General features: G+C 42.7%; 1 annotated feature.

Moving 5' to 3' along the window:
* Positions 10,517-11,023: an enhancer, noted in NCBI's record as "OCT4-NANOG-H3K27ac hESC enhancer chrX:4809466-4809972 (GRCh37/hg19 assembly coordinates)". NCBI's record gives its function as "activates a minimal SCP1, AML or CMV promoter by ChIP-STARR-seq in naive and primed H9 embryonic stem cells {active_cell/tissue: H9 hESC(naive and primed)}" and the evidence as "EXISTENCE:reporter gene assay evidence [ECO:0000049][PMID:30033119]".

Here is a 15,118-nt window from a genome sequence, read left to right as displayed (position 1 = left end):
TGTGGGACTTTCTCAAATCAAAGAGCTTTCCTGGCTGCTTTTGGGGCAAAGCTGCTCTGTTTTTAACTGGCTCTCAGGGTTGTTTCTTCAAGAGAAAACAGAGCCCCATGTAAGGATTGCAACACAGAACAGGCATCTGTACATCCTAACACTATTAATGCCATGTAATGTTGAACACACCTAGGGAGCCAGCTCTATGCAATAGTTCATCTATATTTCACCTATGCAAGGAGAAAAGTCAGTGTATACATCCACCTGTCATAGACATCTGCTTGAACATGAGGAACAGAAAATTGCCTTGTTACTGCATTTAGTTCATATGAAGAGATCCTCATTTGTTGACAATTTATCTCCCTTGTTCTTTTTGTTAGCTTAAAAAAATTCTTTTTTTTTTTTTTTTTTTTTGAGACAGTCCCTCTGTGTTGCCCAGGCTGGAGTGCAGTGGCACAATCTTGGCTCACTGCAACATCTGCCTCCTGGGTTCAAGTGATTCTTCTGCCTCAGCCTCTTGAGTAGCTGGGATTACTGGCATGTGCCACCAGACCCAGCTAATTTTTGTATTTTTAGTAGAGATGGGGTTTCACCATGTTGGCCAGGTTGGTCTCAAACTCCTTACCTCAAGCGATCCACCCACCTTCATCTCCCAAAGGACTGGGATTACAGACATGAACCACTGCATCTGGCCTAAAAAATTATACCTTATGTATTTTCTCCTCATTCCACATATTATTTGGCCTGTAGGGTCAAAGAGAAAATACTTCCCCTTTGCCCTATAAAGAGTTGCTGAAAATGAACTGAGAATAGGCAGTTTCACAGGAAGAAAGGACATACAACATTTATTGAGCATGCATAAGCACAGAGGAATCATAGAAGTCCCGTGTGCTTATATACCCCTTTACATATGGGAAGGGGAGATGGGGGCTGTAGGAGTAAATGATTTTCAGGGGAAAAGGATAAGCCCAAAGAACAAAGGTCTGGGAGGAAGTTCCTCTCATCTTTGGGAGGAGGAGTGAAGGTGAGGGGCAGAACTTCACTGTGAACAAAGGTTGTCTTATCATGCAGATAAAGTCTCTCAGGCAATATATTGGGGTTGTGCTCAGAAGAATAGATGAAAGGTTTTCTCTTCTCCAGTGATTAAATATTTCCTGGGTATTTGATGATATTCCTAGGGGGGGAAGTCTTAAGACAATTGCATTTCTTGTGGACAAATATTTTCTAGAGATTTCCACCGGTGCTTTGGGAAGAAAGAGTATCAGAGAGATGGGGGGTGGGTAGCAGAAAGTTAGAGGAAGACTTTGGTCTTTTTTTTGAGAAAGGGTCTCTCTCTGTTATCCAGGCTGGAGTGTAGTGGCATGATCTTGGCTAACTGCAACATCTGCCTCACAAGTTCAAGTGATTCTCCTGCTTCAGCCTCTTGAGTAGCTGGGATTACAGTCATGCGACACCACGCTGAGCTAATTTTTGTGTATCTTTTGTAGAGACAGGGTTTCACCATGTTGGCCAGGCTGGTCTCGAACTCCTCACCTCAGATGATCTGCCTGCCTCAGCCTCCCAAAGTGCTGGGATTACAGGCATGAGCCACCATGCCTGGCCCAAAGTGCCGAATTTGGCATATCATTTTCTGCACACCAACAGACCACTGTTTAAAATTACAGAAAGTCATCTGGGGTTTATTCATGTATGCTTCTATGACATAAATTCCACACCACATTTTAACACATGGAAGGGCTGACTCATACAATCACATGGTAATTAGCATTTTTACATTTTAGTGTTTTGACGTTTCTTAAGGTGAATGTGAGATTCACTTAGTCTTATGTGAATTCAATTAAGATTCAAATGGAAGATTGAAGCAGGGCTTTTGGGATATGAAGGCGGAAATCAACAATCAGGAAGAGATAGCATCTAACAGAAAAAAGAGAGAAATTTGGGATGTGAGAAGAGTGAAAAAGGAAGAGAAAACATGAACATTTAATCTATAAGGAGTTACTATAGATAATGCAAGATTTTCAAAATGTATTAATGAGATTTTTTCCCTTAAGAATTCTCAGCATAAAACCCAAGGGAGAACTATATCAGTGAAATTTAATGCATTCTTACAGCCATGGGGTATAGATTTTCCTTTTCATATTTTTCTTATTTGTTTCTCTTAAATGAAAAATATTCTTTATAGCACATAGTAGGGACTCTATAAATTAATTCATATTTTTAAAAATTTTTAACTTTTCTTTAATGCATCATTAATTCCCTCTTTTTCCCCATGCCTATACAATCATCTACTATCCTTAAAGTACATCCATCAATAGCTGATTTCATTCTGCAGCATCCTAGACTTTCCTTTATTCTACCCCTAAATAAACCTTCCTTTCTTTTCTAGTGAGGTATATCTATCAACTCTCTATACCCTGTCATATGACATCTTCTTCCTCTGTGGTCTAACATCAGGATTATTAACACATTTGGCACAAAACATATAACATCTTCTTATCTTTTCTTACATATTTGCCTTGTCATGCCATAAAAACATCATTCTTCATTAGTAAGATCTCACCATAACATTTACATACTTTCTATGTGTACAAAGACACTCCATATTTTCTGCTGCTGGGACAGATTTGTAGGAAATATTCTGTTTTCTGGGGGATGTTGCTAATAAAGTTTAAATATAAAAATAAATATACTTTAAACTCCATAAAAAATACATTCATCCACAAATAGAGTTCTACTAAAGATTTATATGAACGAAATGCATCCAGAAACTATTAATATATGAACAATTAATATCTTCATTGAAGTGCATACATTGATGGTTCTTTCCAAATGAACCAATGCAAAGTAATACCATTACACCACACAATTTGCTGTTTCTAAATAATTACGTTATTCCATCGTTCATGGATATGGCTTGGCTCTGTGTCCCCACCCAAATCTCACCTCGAATTGTAATCCCCACGTGTTAAGGGAGGGAGGTGATTGGATCATGGGGCCAGTTTCCTCCATGCTGTAGTGTGACAGTGAGTGAGTTTTCATGAGATCTGATGGTTTTATAAGGCAGGTTTCCCTACTGTTGCTCCTCTCTCTCCTGCCACCATGGAAGATGTGCTTGCTTCCCCTTGCACCATGATTGTAAGTTTCCTGCAGCCTCTCCAGCCATGCAGAGCTGTGATTCAATTAAGCCTCTTTCCTTTATAAATTACCCAGTCCCAGATATATCTTTATAGCAGTTTGAAAACCGACTAATACAGCCATCAATTTAAACAAAAGATGGGAGTGTAAGTTAAGATCTTAATAAGCCTTTGAAAATAACCCAACAATAAAATATTACAGAATATTAGGAAAATGGTATCCTGAATTAAAAAGGATACATGCTTGAGGGGATGGATACTCCATTTTCCATGATGTGTTTATAATGCATGGCATGCCTGTATCAACATATCTCATGCAGTCCATAAATATATAAACCTACTCTGTACCTACAAAAAGAAAATTTCAATAATCTATCTTTGTCCTTTCTAAACCTCAGCTAATACACCACTATTGATGTCTGCATTGCGAAATAATACTTTGGGAAAAAGAATCCTGAATCATATGGAGTATTTCCTGAGCTCATCTGTAAAAATGGGCCATTTCCCCAAAGTTAATATATTCTAGGCATGAAACAAACAGAGAAGCACTCTAATTTCTCCCCCACATTTGCTTCAATGTATTGCTAATCAAGATCCATTATTCAGCTCTCAATTTAAATGATTATGCACACACCCTGGCTGTTCCTAGTTAAGAATAATCATGGCTGATTTATATGTAAGGAGAAATAGATTTTTATCCTGGAATTGTCAGTGCCTGAATTTTAACTCGAAAGAATAAAGAACAGGATGCGAATAACTGCCACCCCCAGACCTTTGATGAACACTTTCCATTTCCCAGCTCTGATATCTTGGCCTTACTGAATTTCACCATCTTCAAATGTACATTGACACATCTCCATAAGAGAATTTGCAGAACTTCTAAGATCATTAACATTTTACATTAACAATACCAACTATTAATAATCTTGTCCTCATTATTTGGATTACTTAGTCACTACTTTTTAAACACTATTACTGGGAGAAAATTGACAATCAAGAAACGTTGGACTATTATTTTGGTTTCGTCAAACATAGCCCTAGGCCTTAGAATGGAGGGCAGAGTATCTGATCTCTCTCGGATACTAACGAGTGAACCAGTCAAGACTGCAAGCTCCAGGATCACTCACATTTAAAATTTTCCATGCAAAAAAGCAAAGGGCAGAACACGCTAACCAAGCATTGTGATGATTCCCTCTAGAGCTACTCTGCTGAAAAGGGACCCTCTTTGGGGTAAGCACGTTTGTAGGAGAGACCCTTCTAACTTAATGGTAGTGAGAATCAGTCTCATTCAGAAACTTATGGGGCACACTCTGAGAAAGAAGGCTGAGGCAGTAGAAGGATACAGTAGGAAAGGGATAACTATGGTAGTGTTGAAACCTTCCAACCAGAGAAGCCATATGGCCAATAGAAAGCATGTGACACTGGAACCCATGCCTAAATTTGACCCCTGATTCCACCATTTAATGGTCCCATGAACATGAGATAATTGCATCACCACTGAATAATAATTAATGCACATTTCTGAATTTATATGCACCAGTCACTACTTACTAATCCATTGTAGAGCAAAAATAAAATTCTGAGCCCCTCGGTCATCTGAACAGACCCCTCCTCTCAGCAAGGGCATTCCAAAATTAACCTGAAGAACTAGTTCAGGTCATTATGGGGAGTGGGATCAAACATGGCTCATTATATCCTCCTTCCTTTTGGAATTCTGGAAAAGCCAACCAGCATTCACTTAAACACGGATGGTAAGTCTGATAAGAAACATTTACAATGTATTCTCTCTGAAGCCTGCTACCCGGAGGCTTCATCTGCATGGTAAAACCTTGCTCCACAACCCCTTATCATAACCCAGATATTCCTTTCTATTGATTTCAGGTCTTTAGATAATAACTGTTGCAACCAATTGACAATCACAAAATCTTTAAATCTACCTATGACCTGAAAGCCTCTGCTTCAAGCACTCCCACCTTTCCAGATTGAGCCAACATGCGCGTCCGTGTGAAGAGACCACCAAACAGGCTTTGTGTGAGCAACATGGCTGTTTATTTCACCTGGGTGCAGGCGGGCTGAGTCCGAAAAGAGAGTCAGCGAAGGGAGATAACGGTGGGGCCGTTTTATAGGATTTGGGTAGGTAAAGGAAAATTACAGTCAAAGGGGGTTTGTTCTCTGGCGGGCAGGAGTGGGGGTTGCGAGGTGCTCAGTGGGGGTGTTTTTGAGCCAAGATGAGCCAGGAAAAGGACTTTCACAAGGTAATGTCATCAGTTAAGGCAAGGACCGGCCATTTACACTTCTTTTGTGGTGGAATGTCATCAGTTAAGGTGGGGCAGGGCATTTTCACTTCTTTTGTGATTCTTCAGTTACTTCAGGCCATCTGGGCATATATGTGCAAGTCACAGGGGATGCGATGGCTTGGCTTGGGCTCAGAGGCCTGACATTCCTGCCTTCTTAATAAGAAAAATAAAACAAAATAGTGTTGAAGTGTTGGGGTGGTGAAAATTTTTGGGGGGTGGTATGGAGAGAGAATGGGCGATGTTTCTCAGGGCTGCTTCGAGTGGGATTAGGGGCGGCGTGGGAGCCTAGAGTGGGAGAGATTAAGCTGAAGGGAGGTCTTGTGGTAAGGGGTGATATTGTGGGGATGTTAGAAGAAACATTTGTCGTATAGAATGATTGGTGATGGCCTGGATACGGTTTTGTATGAATTGAAAAACTAAATGGAATAAGAGAAGGAGAAAAACAGGTATAAAAGGTCTAAGAATTGGGAGGACCTAGGACATCTGATTAGAGAGTGCCTAAGGAGATTCGGCATAGTCCTGCCAGCAAAGATTATTTATTTACTTCAAGAGTTAAGAGTGGCAGTTTGGGGATAGCACCAGGAGATATCAGCTGTGATGGCTTGGAGAAACAGTGTAAACCGGCAGTGTAAACAAGAGCAGGGCATGTATGAGTAGTTGAGAACGGTGAATAGGAGTATGACTAGACAGAAGATAGTAGGGATGACAAGTTTTTTTTTGGTGGGGGGCACAGTCTAAGTTGGTCTGGTGTCTGGAATGAGACTGGGGCCTAATAAAAAGGAGCATCTATACAGGAGCTCAAATGGGCTGTACCCTGTAGCATTCTGAGGACAGGCCTGATTTCTGAGAAGGGAAAGTGGTAAAAGTATTGTCCAGTCCTTTTTAAGTTGGTGGCTGAGCTTGGTGAGGTGTGTTTTTAAAAGACCTTTAGTCCGTTCTACTTTTCTTGAAGATGGAGGACTATAAGGGATATAAAGGTTTCACTGAATACTAAGAGCCTGAAAAACTGCTTGGCTGATTTGACTAATAAAGGCTGGTCTGTTATCAGACGGTATAGAGGTGGGAAGGCTAAACTGAGGAATTATGTCTGACAGAAGGGAAGAAATGACTGCGGTGGCCTTCTCAGACCCTGTAGGAAAGGCCTGTACCTATCCAGTGAAAGTGTCTACCTAGACTAAGAGGTATTTTAGTTTCCTGACTCTGGGCATGTTGAGTAAAGCTAATTTGCCAGTCCTGGGTGGGGGCAAATCCTCGAGCCTGATGTGTAGGGAAGGGACGGGGCCTGAATAATCCCTGAGGAGTAGTAGAATAGCAGATGGAACACTGAGAAGTTATTTCCTTGAGGATAGATTTCCACGATGGAAAGGAAACGAGAGGTTCTAAGAGGCGGGCTAGTGGCTTGTACTATAGCATAGCCTGCCTTTGCTGGTGTGTGGTGATTAGGCCTGGTGGAACCACCATCAATAAATCAAGCGTGATCAGGGTGAGGAACAGGAAAGACGGAAATTTGGGGAAATGGGGTGAATGTCAGGTGGATCAGAGAGATACAGTCATGGGGGTCAGGTGTGGTATCAGGAATAATGTGGGAGGCCGGATTGAAGTCCGGGCCAGGAACAATGGTAATTGTGGGACTTAACAAAGAGTGAGTACAGCTGAAGGAGCCGGGAAGCAGAAAGTATATGCGTCAGGTATGAGGAAGAAAATAGATTTTGGAAGTTATGAGAAATGTAGAGAGTGAGTTGAGCATAGTTTGTGATTTTGAGGGCCTCTAAAAATATTAAAGCAGTGGCAGCTGCTGCAGGCAGACATGAGGGCTAGGCTAAAACAGTAAGGTCAAGTTGTTTGGACAGAAAGGCTACACGGTGTGGTCCTGGCTATTGTGTAAGAATTCCGACCACGCTAACCATGCCTAGGAAGGAAAGGAGTTGTTGTTTTGTAAGGGATTGAGGTTTGGGAGATTATTCGGACATGATCAGCAGGGAGAGCACCTGTGTTTTTATGAGAATTATGCCCAGATAGGTAACAGATGAGGATGAAATTTGGGCTTGACTGAAGTAATGGGGGCTGTCTGTGAAGCCTTGCGGCAGTACAGCCCAGGTAATTTGCTGAGCCTAATGGGTGTCAGGGTCAGTCTAAGTGAAAGCAAAGGGAGGCTGGGATGAAGGGTGCAAAGGAATAGTAAAGAAAGCATGTTTGAGATCCAGAACAGAATAATGGGTAGTAGAGGGAGGTATTGAGGATAGAAGAGTATATGGGTTTGGCACCACGGGGTGGATAGGCAAAACATTTGGTTGATAAGGCGCAGATTCTGAACTAACTTGTAAGGCTTGTCTGGTTTTAGGACAGGTAAAATGGGGGAATGGTAAGGAGAGTTTATAGGTTTTAAAAGCCCATGCTGTAGCAGGCGAGTGATAACAGGCTTTAATCCTTTCAAAGCATGCTGTGGGATGAGATATTGGCGTTGAGCGGCGTAAGGGTGATTAGGTTTTAATGAGATGGTAAGGCGTGCTTGATCGGTCGCCAAGGAGGGAGTAGAGGTATCTTATACTTGTGGGTTAAGGTGGGGGATACAAGAGGAGGACGCAAAGGAGGCTCTGGATTGGGAAGAAGGGCAGCAATGAGATGCAGGTGTAATCCAGGAGTAGTCAGGGAAGCAGATAATTTAGTTAAAGTGTCTCGGCCTAATAAGGGAACTGGGCAGGTGGGGATAACTAAAAAGGAGTGCGTAAAAGAGTATTGTCTAAGTTGGCACCAGAGTGGGGGAGTTTTAAGAGGTTTAGAAGCCTGGCTGTCAATACCTACAACAGTTATGGAGGCAAGGGAAACAGGCCTTTGAAAGGAAGGTAATGCGGAGTGGGTAGCCTCCATATTGATTAAGAAGGGGACGGACTTACCTTCCACTGTGAGAGTTACCTGAAGCTCGGCGTCCATGATGGTCTACGGGGCTTCCAAGGCGATCAGGCAGCGTCAGTCTTCAGCCGCTAAGCCGAGAAGGAGTCAGTCAGAGAGCCTTGGGCCAGAGTTCCAGGGGCTCTGGGAGTGGCTGCCAGGTGAGTTGAACAGTCCGATTTCCAGTGGGGTCCCGCACAGATGGGACACGGCTTAGGAGGAATCCTGGGCTGCAGGCATTCTTTGGCCTGGTGGCCAGATTTCTGGCACTTGTAGCAAGCTCCTGGGGGAGGAGGTTCTGGAGGAACGCCTGGCCGCTGCGGTTCAGGCGTTTGGAAGTTCTTGTGTGCTGGAGATGTGGCTGGGGTTTGTCTCACAGTGGAGGGAAGGAATTGCAACTTTTTTTTTTATTATTGTACACCTTGAAGGTGAGGTTAATTAAGTCCTGTTGTGGGGTTTGAGGGCCAGATTCTAATTTTTGGAGTTTTATTTAATGTCGGGAGCAGATTGGGTAATAAAATGTATATTGAGAATAAGATGGCCTTTTGACCTTTTAGGGTCTAGGGCTGTAAAGCGTCTCAGGGTTGCTGCCGAATGAGCCATGAACTGGGCTGGGTTTTTATATTTGATGAAAAAGAACCTAAACGCTTCTGATTTGGGATAAAGAAAAAGGAGCATTAACCTTGACTATGCCTTTGGCTCCAGCCACCTTTTTAAGAGTAAATTGCTGGGCAGGTGGGGGAGGGCTAGTCACTGAACGAAACTGTAAGCCGGACCAGGTGTGAGGAGGGGAGGCGATAAAAAGATTACAGGGTGGAGGAGCGGAGGCTGAGGAAGAATTGGGACCTAGCTTGGCCTGGCGAGGAGGGGAGAGGTCAGATGGGTCTGTAGAAAAGGAAGATTAGAAAGACTCAGCGACGCTTGGGGTTGGGACTGAGGGGACAGGCGGGAGGGAAAGAAGGAAGATTTGGGACGAGTTGCACTGGGCACAGAGACTAGGAAGGGACTGATGTGTAAAAGAATGCCTGGACGTCAGGCACCTCAGACCATATTTGCCCATTTTACGACAAGAATTATTTAGATCTTGTAGGATGGAAAAATTGAAAGTGCCATTTTCCGGCTATTTGGAACTACTGTCGAGTTTGTATTGGCCTCAAGCGGCATTGCAGAAGAAAATAAGATGCTTAGATTTTAGGTCAGGTGAGAGTTGAAGAGGTTTTAAGTTCTTAAGAATATAGGCTAAGGGAGAAGAAGGAGGAATGGAAGGTGGAAGCTTGCCCATAGTGAAGGAGGCAAGGCCAGAGAAAAGAGTAGAGACACGGAGAAGGGGTTGGGGGTTCTTGCCCTCCAGAAAAGCAGAGAAAGGGTTGGGGCATGGAAATAAGGAATTGGGGCACAGAGATAAGAGGTTGGGGCACGTAAATAAGGGATTGGGGCACAGAGATAAGAGGTTGGGGTGTGGAAATAAGGGATTGGGGGTTCTTGTCCCGTAGAAAAGCGGGACTTGCCGCTAAGGGTGAAGGAGAAGGGGTTGAGGGGTACTTGCCCCTATCCCAGAAAAGCAGAGAAGGGGTAGAGACAAGGAGAGAAGGGTTTGAGGTACTTGCCCCTTCCCTAGAAAAGCGGGACTTGCCACTAAGGGTGAAGGACCAAGGCAGGCGTCCCTGCGTGGTCTGACACCCTTGAAACGTGGGTGTATAATCAGAGAGGCATTCCTGCAGTGATTAAACACTAAGGGAAGGCTGCCTTCCCAGTCTGTGACCGGCGCCGGAGTTTTGGGTCCACGGATAAAACGTTTCTCCTTTGTCTCTCCCAGAAAATGAAAGGAATTGAAATTAAGAGAAGGGAGAGATTGAAGAGTGGAAAGGAGAAAGTGGTTGAGGGACAGAGAGGTTGGAGAAGAGAGTAAGAAGAGGCCACTTACCTGATTTGAAATTGGTGAGATGTTCCTTGGGCTGGTCGGTCTGAGGACCTGAGGTCATAGGTGGATCTTTCTCATGGAGCAAAGAACAGGAGTACAGGGGATTGATCTCCCAAGAGAGGTTCCCCGATCCGAGTTACGGCACCAAATTTCATGCGCGTCCGTGTGAAGAGACCACCAAACAGGCTTTGTGTGAGCAACATGGCTGTTTATTTCACCTGGGTGCAGGCGGGCTGAGTCCGAAAAGAGAGTCAGCGAAGGAAGATAAGGGTGGGGCCGTTTTATAGGATTTGGGTAGGTAAAGGAAAATTACAGTCAAAGGGGGTTTGTTCCCTGGCGGGCAGGAGTGGGGGTTGCAAGGTGCTCAGTGGGGGTGCTTTTTGAGCCAGGATGAGCCAGGAAAAGGACTTTCACAAGGTAATGTCATCAGTTAAGGCAAGGACCGGCCATTTACACTTCTTTTGTGGTGGAATGTCATCAGTTAAGGTGGGGCAGGGCATATTCACTTCTTTTGTGATTCTTCAGTTACTTCAGGCCATCTGGGCATATATGTGCAAGTCACAGGGGATGCGATGGCTTGGCTTGGGCTCAGAGGCCTGACACTGAGAAAGACGGCTGAGGCAGTAGAAGGATACAGTAGGAAAGGGATAACTATGGTAGTGTTGAAACCTTCCAACCAGAGAAGCCATATGGCCAATAGAAAGCATGTGACACTGGAACCCATGCCTAAATTTGACCCCTGATTCCACCACTTAGTGGTCCCATGAACATGAGATAATTGCATCACCACTGAATAATAATTAATGCACATTTCTGAATTTATATGCACCAGTCACTATTTATTAATCCATTGTAGAGCAAAAATAAAATTCTGAGCCCCTCGGTCATCTGAACAGACCCCTCCTCTCAGCAAGGGCATTCCAAAATTAACCTGAAGAACTAGTTCAGGTCATTATGGGGAGTGGGATCAAACATGGCTCATTATATCCTCCTTCCTTTTGGAATTCTGGAAAAGCCAACCAGCATTCACTTAAACACGGATGGTAAGTCTGATAAGAAACATTTACAATGTATTCTCTCTGAAGCCTGCTACCCGGAGGCTTCATCTGCATGGTAAAACCTTGCTCCACAACCCCTTATCATAACTCAGATATTCCTTTCTATTGATTTCAGGTCTTTAGATAATAACTGTTGCAACCAATTGACAATCAGAAAATCTTTAAATCTACCTATGACCTGAAAGCCTCTGCTTCAAGCACTCCCACCTTTCCAGATCGAACCAACATACACCTTACATGTCTTGGTAGATATATTATATCTCCATAAAATATATAAATGGAGGGTTTACTCTGATCACCTTGGGCACACGTCATCGAGACCTCCTGAAGCTATGTCACAGGCACGTGCTTAACCTTGGAAAATAAACTTTCTAAATTGATTGAGTCCTGTCTCAGATACTTTTGGGTTCAAACTTTTAACTCTCAGAATAATCACCAGTGAAATGTGCAGAAAGGAGCAGAGTAGATTTTTCATAAACAGAAGTGGCTTTGATTCATTTCTGTTTTACATTGAAAAATATATCATGGGGAAAGGAAAAGAGGTTCTTCCCCCTGTGGAGGGAAAGACGTAGTTCAGTTGCTGTCATGTAAATTAATATGTTTCCTGTTGCTGAAGTAACAAATAATCATAAATTTGGTAGCTCAAAAGAACATTGTTTTATCTTACAGTGCTTGAGGCTAGAAGTCTAAAGCCAGTCTTTTTGGGCTATACTCAAAGATTTGGTAGGACTTGTTCCTTCTGGAGGCTCTAGGAAGGAATTCATTTTCTTTTTCAACTTCTAGAGGCTGCTTGCATTTAAAGCCAGCAGCATAGCCAATTCAGATTTCTCTCTGACTCCTGTAAGGGCTTTCATGATTACATTGAGTTTACCTGGATAATTCAAGATAGTCTCTCCACCTCAACATATTCAATTAAACACATCTGCAAAGTCCCCTTTTGACATATATGTAAATCATTCTATTATAAAGATACATGCACACATATGTTCATTGACACACAGTTCACATAGCAAAGACATGGAATCAACCTAAATGCCCATCAATGATAGACTGGATAAAGAAAATGTGGTACATATACACCATGGAATACTATGCAGCCATAAAAAGGAATGAGATCATGTCCTTTGCAGAAACATGGATGGAGTTGGAAGCTGTTATCCTTAGCAAACTAACACAGAAACAGATACCAAAGGGCATTAGAACATTGTGGCTGGGTCTTCCTGAGGGTGGGTCTTCCTCTTCAGTCCTAACCCCCACTACAATGTATAAATTTGAGGGAGACACAATTCAACTCATAACTATACCTGGTGTATTAGTAAATGTTCTCTAGAGGGAAGAAACTAATGGGATATATGTATATATGAAAGGGAGTTTACTAGGGAGAATTGACTCACATGATCACAAGGCCAAGTCCCACAACAGGTAGTCTGCAAGCTGAGGAGCAAGGAAGCCAGTAGTGGCTCCGTCCCAGTCGCAAAACCTCCAAAGTAGGGAAGCCGATAGACAGTGCAGCCTTCAGTCTGTGGCCAAAGGCCCGAGAGCCCCTGGCAAACCACTGGTGTAAGTCCAACAGTCCAAAAGCCAAACTTGGAGTCTGATATTCAAGGGCAGCAAGCATCCAGGATGGGAGAAAGATGAAGGCTGGAAGATTCAGCAAGTCAGCTTCTTCCACCTTCTGCCTGTTTTTTCTAGCCGTGCGGGTATCCAACTGGATTGTGCCCACCCACATTGTGGGTGGGTCTTCCTGAGGGTGGGTTTTCCTTTCCTGGTCATCTGACTCAAATCTCTTCTGGCAACACCCAGAAACACCCAGATACACCCAGAAACAACACTTTGCATCCTTTAATCCAATCAAGTTGACACTTCGTATTAACCATCACACCTGGCAATGCCTCAGCCTGAGATGAGTCTGCAAGAAATGGCAGCCCCATAGGAGACAGCTTGAGCCCAGGATATCTGGGCCCTGGGAGCAACTGAATCTCGAAGGCAGCTGCATTTGGAAGTTGTATTTTTCTTATTTTATGCCCCAAATTTCAGTTAAGCCATATTAGAGGCTGAAGCTTGTTCTCAAGGCCAGTGATATCCATTAGCCAGTGAGCGTAGGTCAGTGCTCTGAAGTAAAGCCGTCGCTGGTGCCCAGAATTTTTCAAAAACTGCTTCTTTAAATAAAATTACATAGCCTAAAATATCCAGTGGGAGGCAGGTTCCCAGTTCCTTATACAGTAGGATTGGTATTCTATACATGTGAATGATGTGGCACAGAAGTCAATTCATTAACTAATAAGCATGGAAGCAAACTCAAAAGCAAACTAATCAATGAAAGGAAGCAAAAGTAGCAACTAACTAGGTGACTGTGAATTTCTTCAGTTTTACAGTCGTGCAGAATTTATGCAGTAAGATCTGGGATGCTATTGCTGCTGATAAATGTAATAGGGCTTCATCAGCTTAAAGAGGAAGAAAACAAAATCATTCTTAGGCTGGGTATGTAGCCCTACTTATTGGTGATTAAAAGAAAAGGACAACCCATGTTATTTCTTAACTTCCTGCTTTTAATTGCTTGAGATTCCACTTGCTGTGAAGTGCATCTTGTGGGTTTTGAAGTTAAGGACAAAGTTGTCATTTCCAATCCTACCTTTATTTGTTGAGTTACCTCTAGCAAATAGTCAAACTCTGTGCCTTATCTTTCTCATCAGAAGAAAATGTCATAATAATCCTAATTCAAATAAATAGATGGAAATCAAATAGGTTACCAAATTTGAGACTATTTGTAAAGCGTAAAAATAAAGCATACAACATTATTTCTGCTATCATTATGACTATTTCTAAGTGTTTTTGTGGCCTTCGTTAATACTGAAATCTGTAGGAGTTGCATGTTTACACTCACCCTGGAGAGGTATAATGCAAGAGATTGTATTTGCATCAATTCTTTTTTAGTATTTCCAGCTGATCTACACACAAGCATAGAGAGCCTACTTTAGGGCCTATTCAACAAGGTGATTGGAAATACATACTGTCTGTATGCCACTGGCAACGTGAAAGAGATAGTCAAAGTTCTTCAGGCTTTGCTGAATAGTGCATTCCAATGATATAAAATCAAGGAAAGTGGGGGTTTAAATAAAGCAGATATTGCTATCATGAATATAAAGCCATGCCAGAAAATTACCAAAAGGGAAAATGATCTTCTGAGAGAGAGAAATGGGTTATACTATTTGGATAGAAGACAAAGTGATGGAGCTTACATTAGTAGGGAAAATAGTGAAGGAGTTTTACAAAATTTTTGTTGTTATTGAAACAATGCATGAATGATTAATTGGTTTATTTTTAATATATTTTCTGATGATGCCCCGGGGTCCCAAAGTACCTTTATATGTGTCCGCATAGCTTTGTGATGAGGGAGTAAGAAGAGCTGGATATCGTTTGTGAAATAATGACAACAAGAATACTAATTATGGCCGGGGCCGGTGGCTCACACCTGTAATCCCAGCACTTTGGGAGGCTGAGGCAGACAGATCACTTGAGGTCAAGAGTTGGAGATCAGCCTGGCCAGCATGGCAAAAATACCATCTCTACTAAAAACATATAAATTAGCCGGGCGTGGTTGCATGTGCCTGTAATCCCAGCTACTTGGAAGGCTGAGGCAGGAGAATCACTTGACCCGGGAGGTGGAGGTTGCAGTGAGCCAAGATCGTGCCACTGCAGCCCAGCCTGGGTTGCAAAGTGAGACTTTGTCTCAAAAAAAATAAATAAATAAAAATAAAAATAATATAACTAATTATTATTAGTGATCAGTGCTACCTTGTACCAGGAACTTAGCACTCATCTTGTAGA

This window comes from Homo sapiens, chromosome X (genome assembly GCF_000001405.40).
Source record: "Homo sapiens chromosome X, GRCh38.p14 Primary Assembly".
Classification (NCBI taxonomy): domain Eukaryota; kingdom Metazoa; phylum Chordata; class Mammalia; order Primates; family Hominidae; genus Homo; species Homo sapiens.
This window is presented reverse-complemented; position numbering and strand designations above follow the sequence as displayed.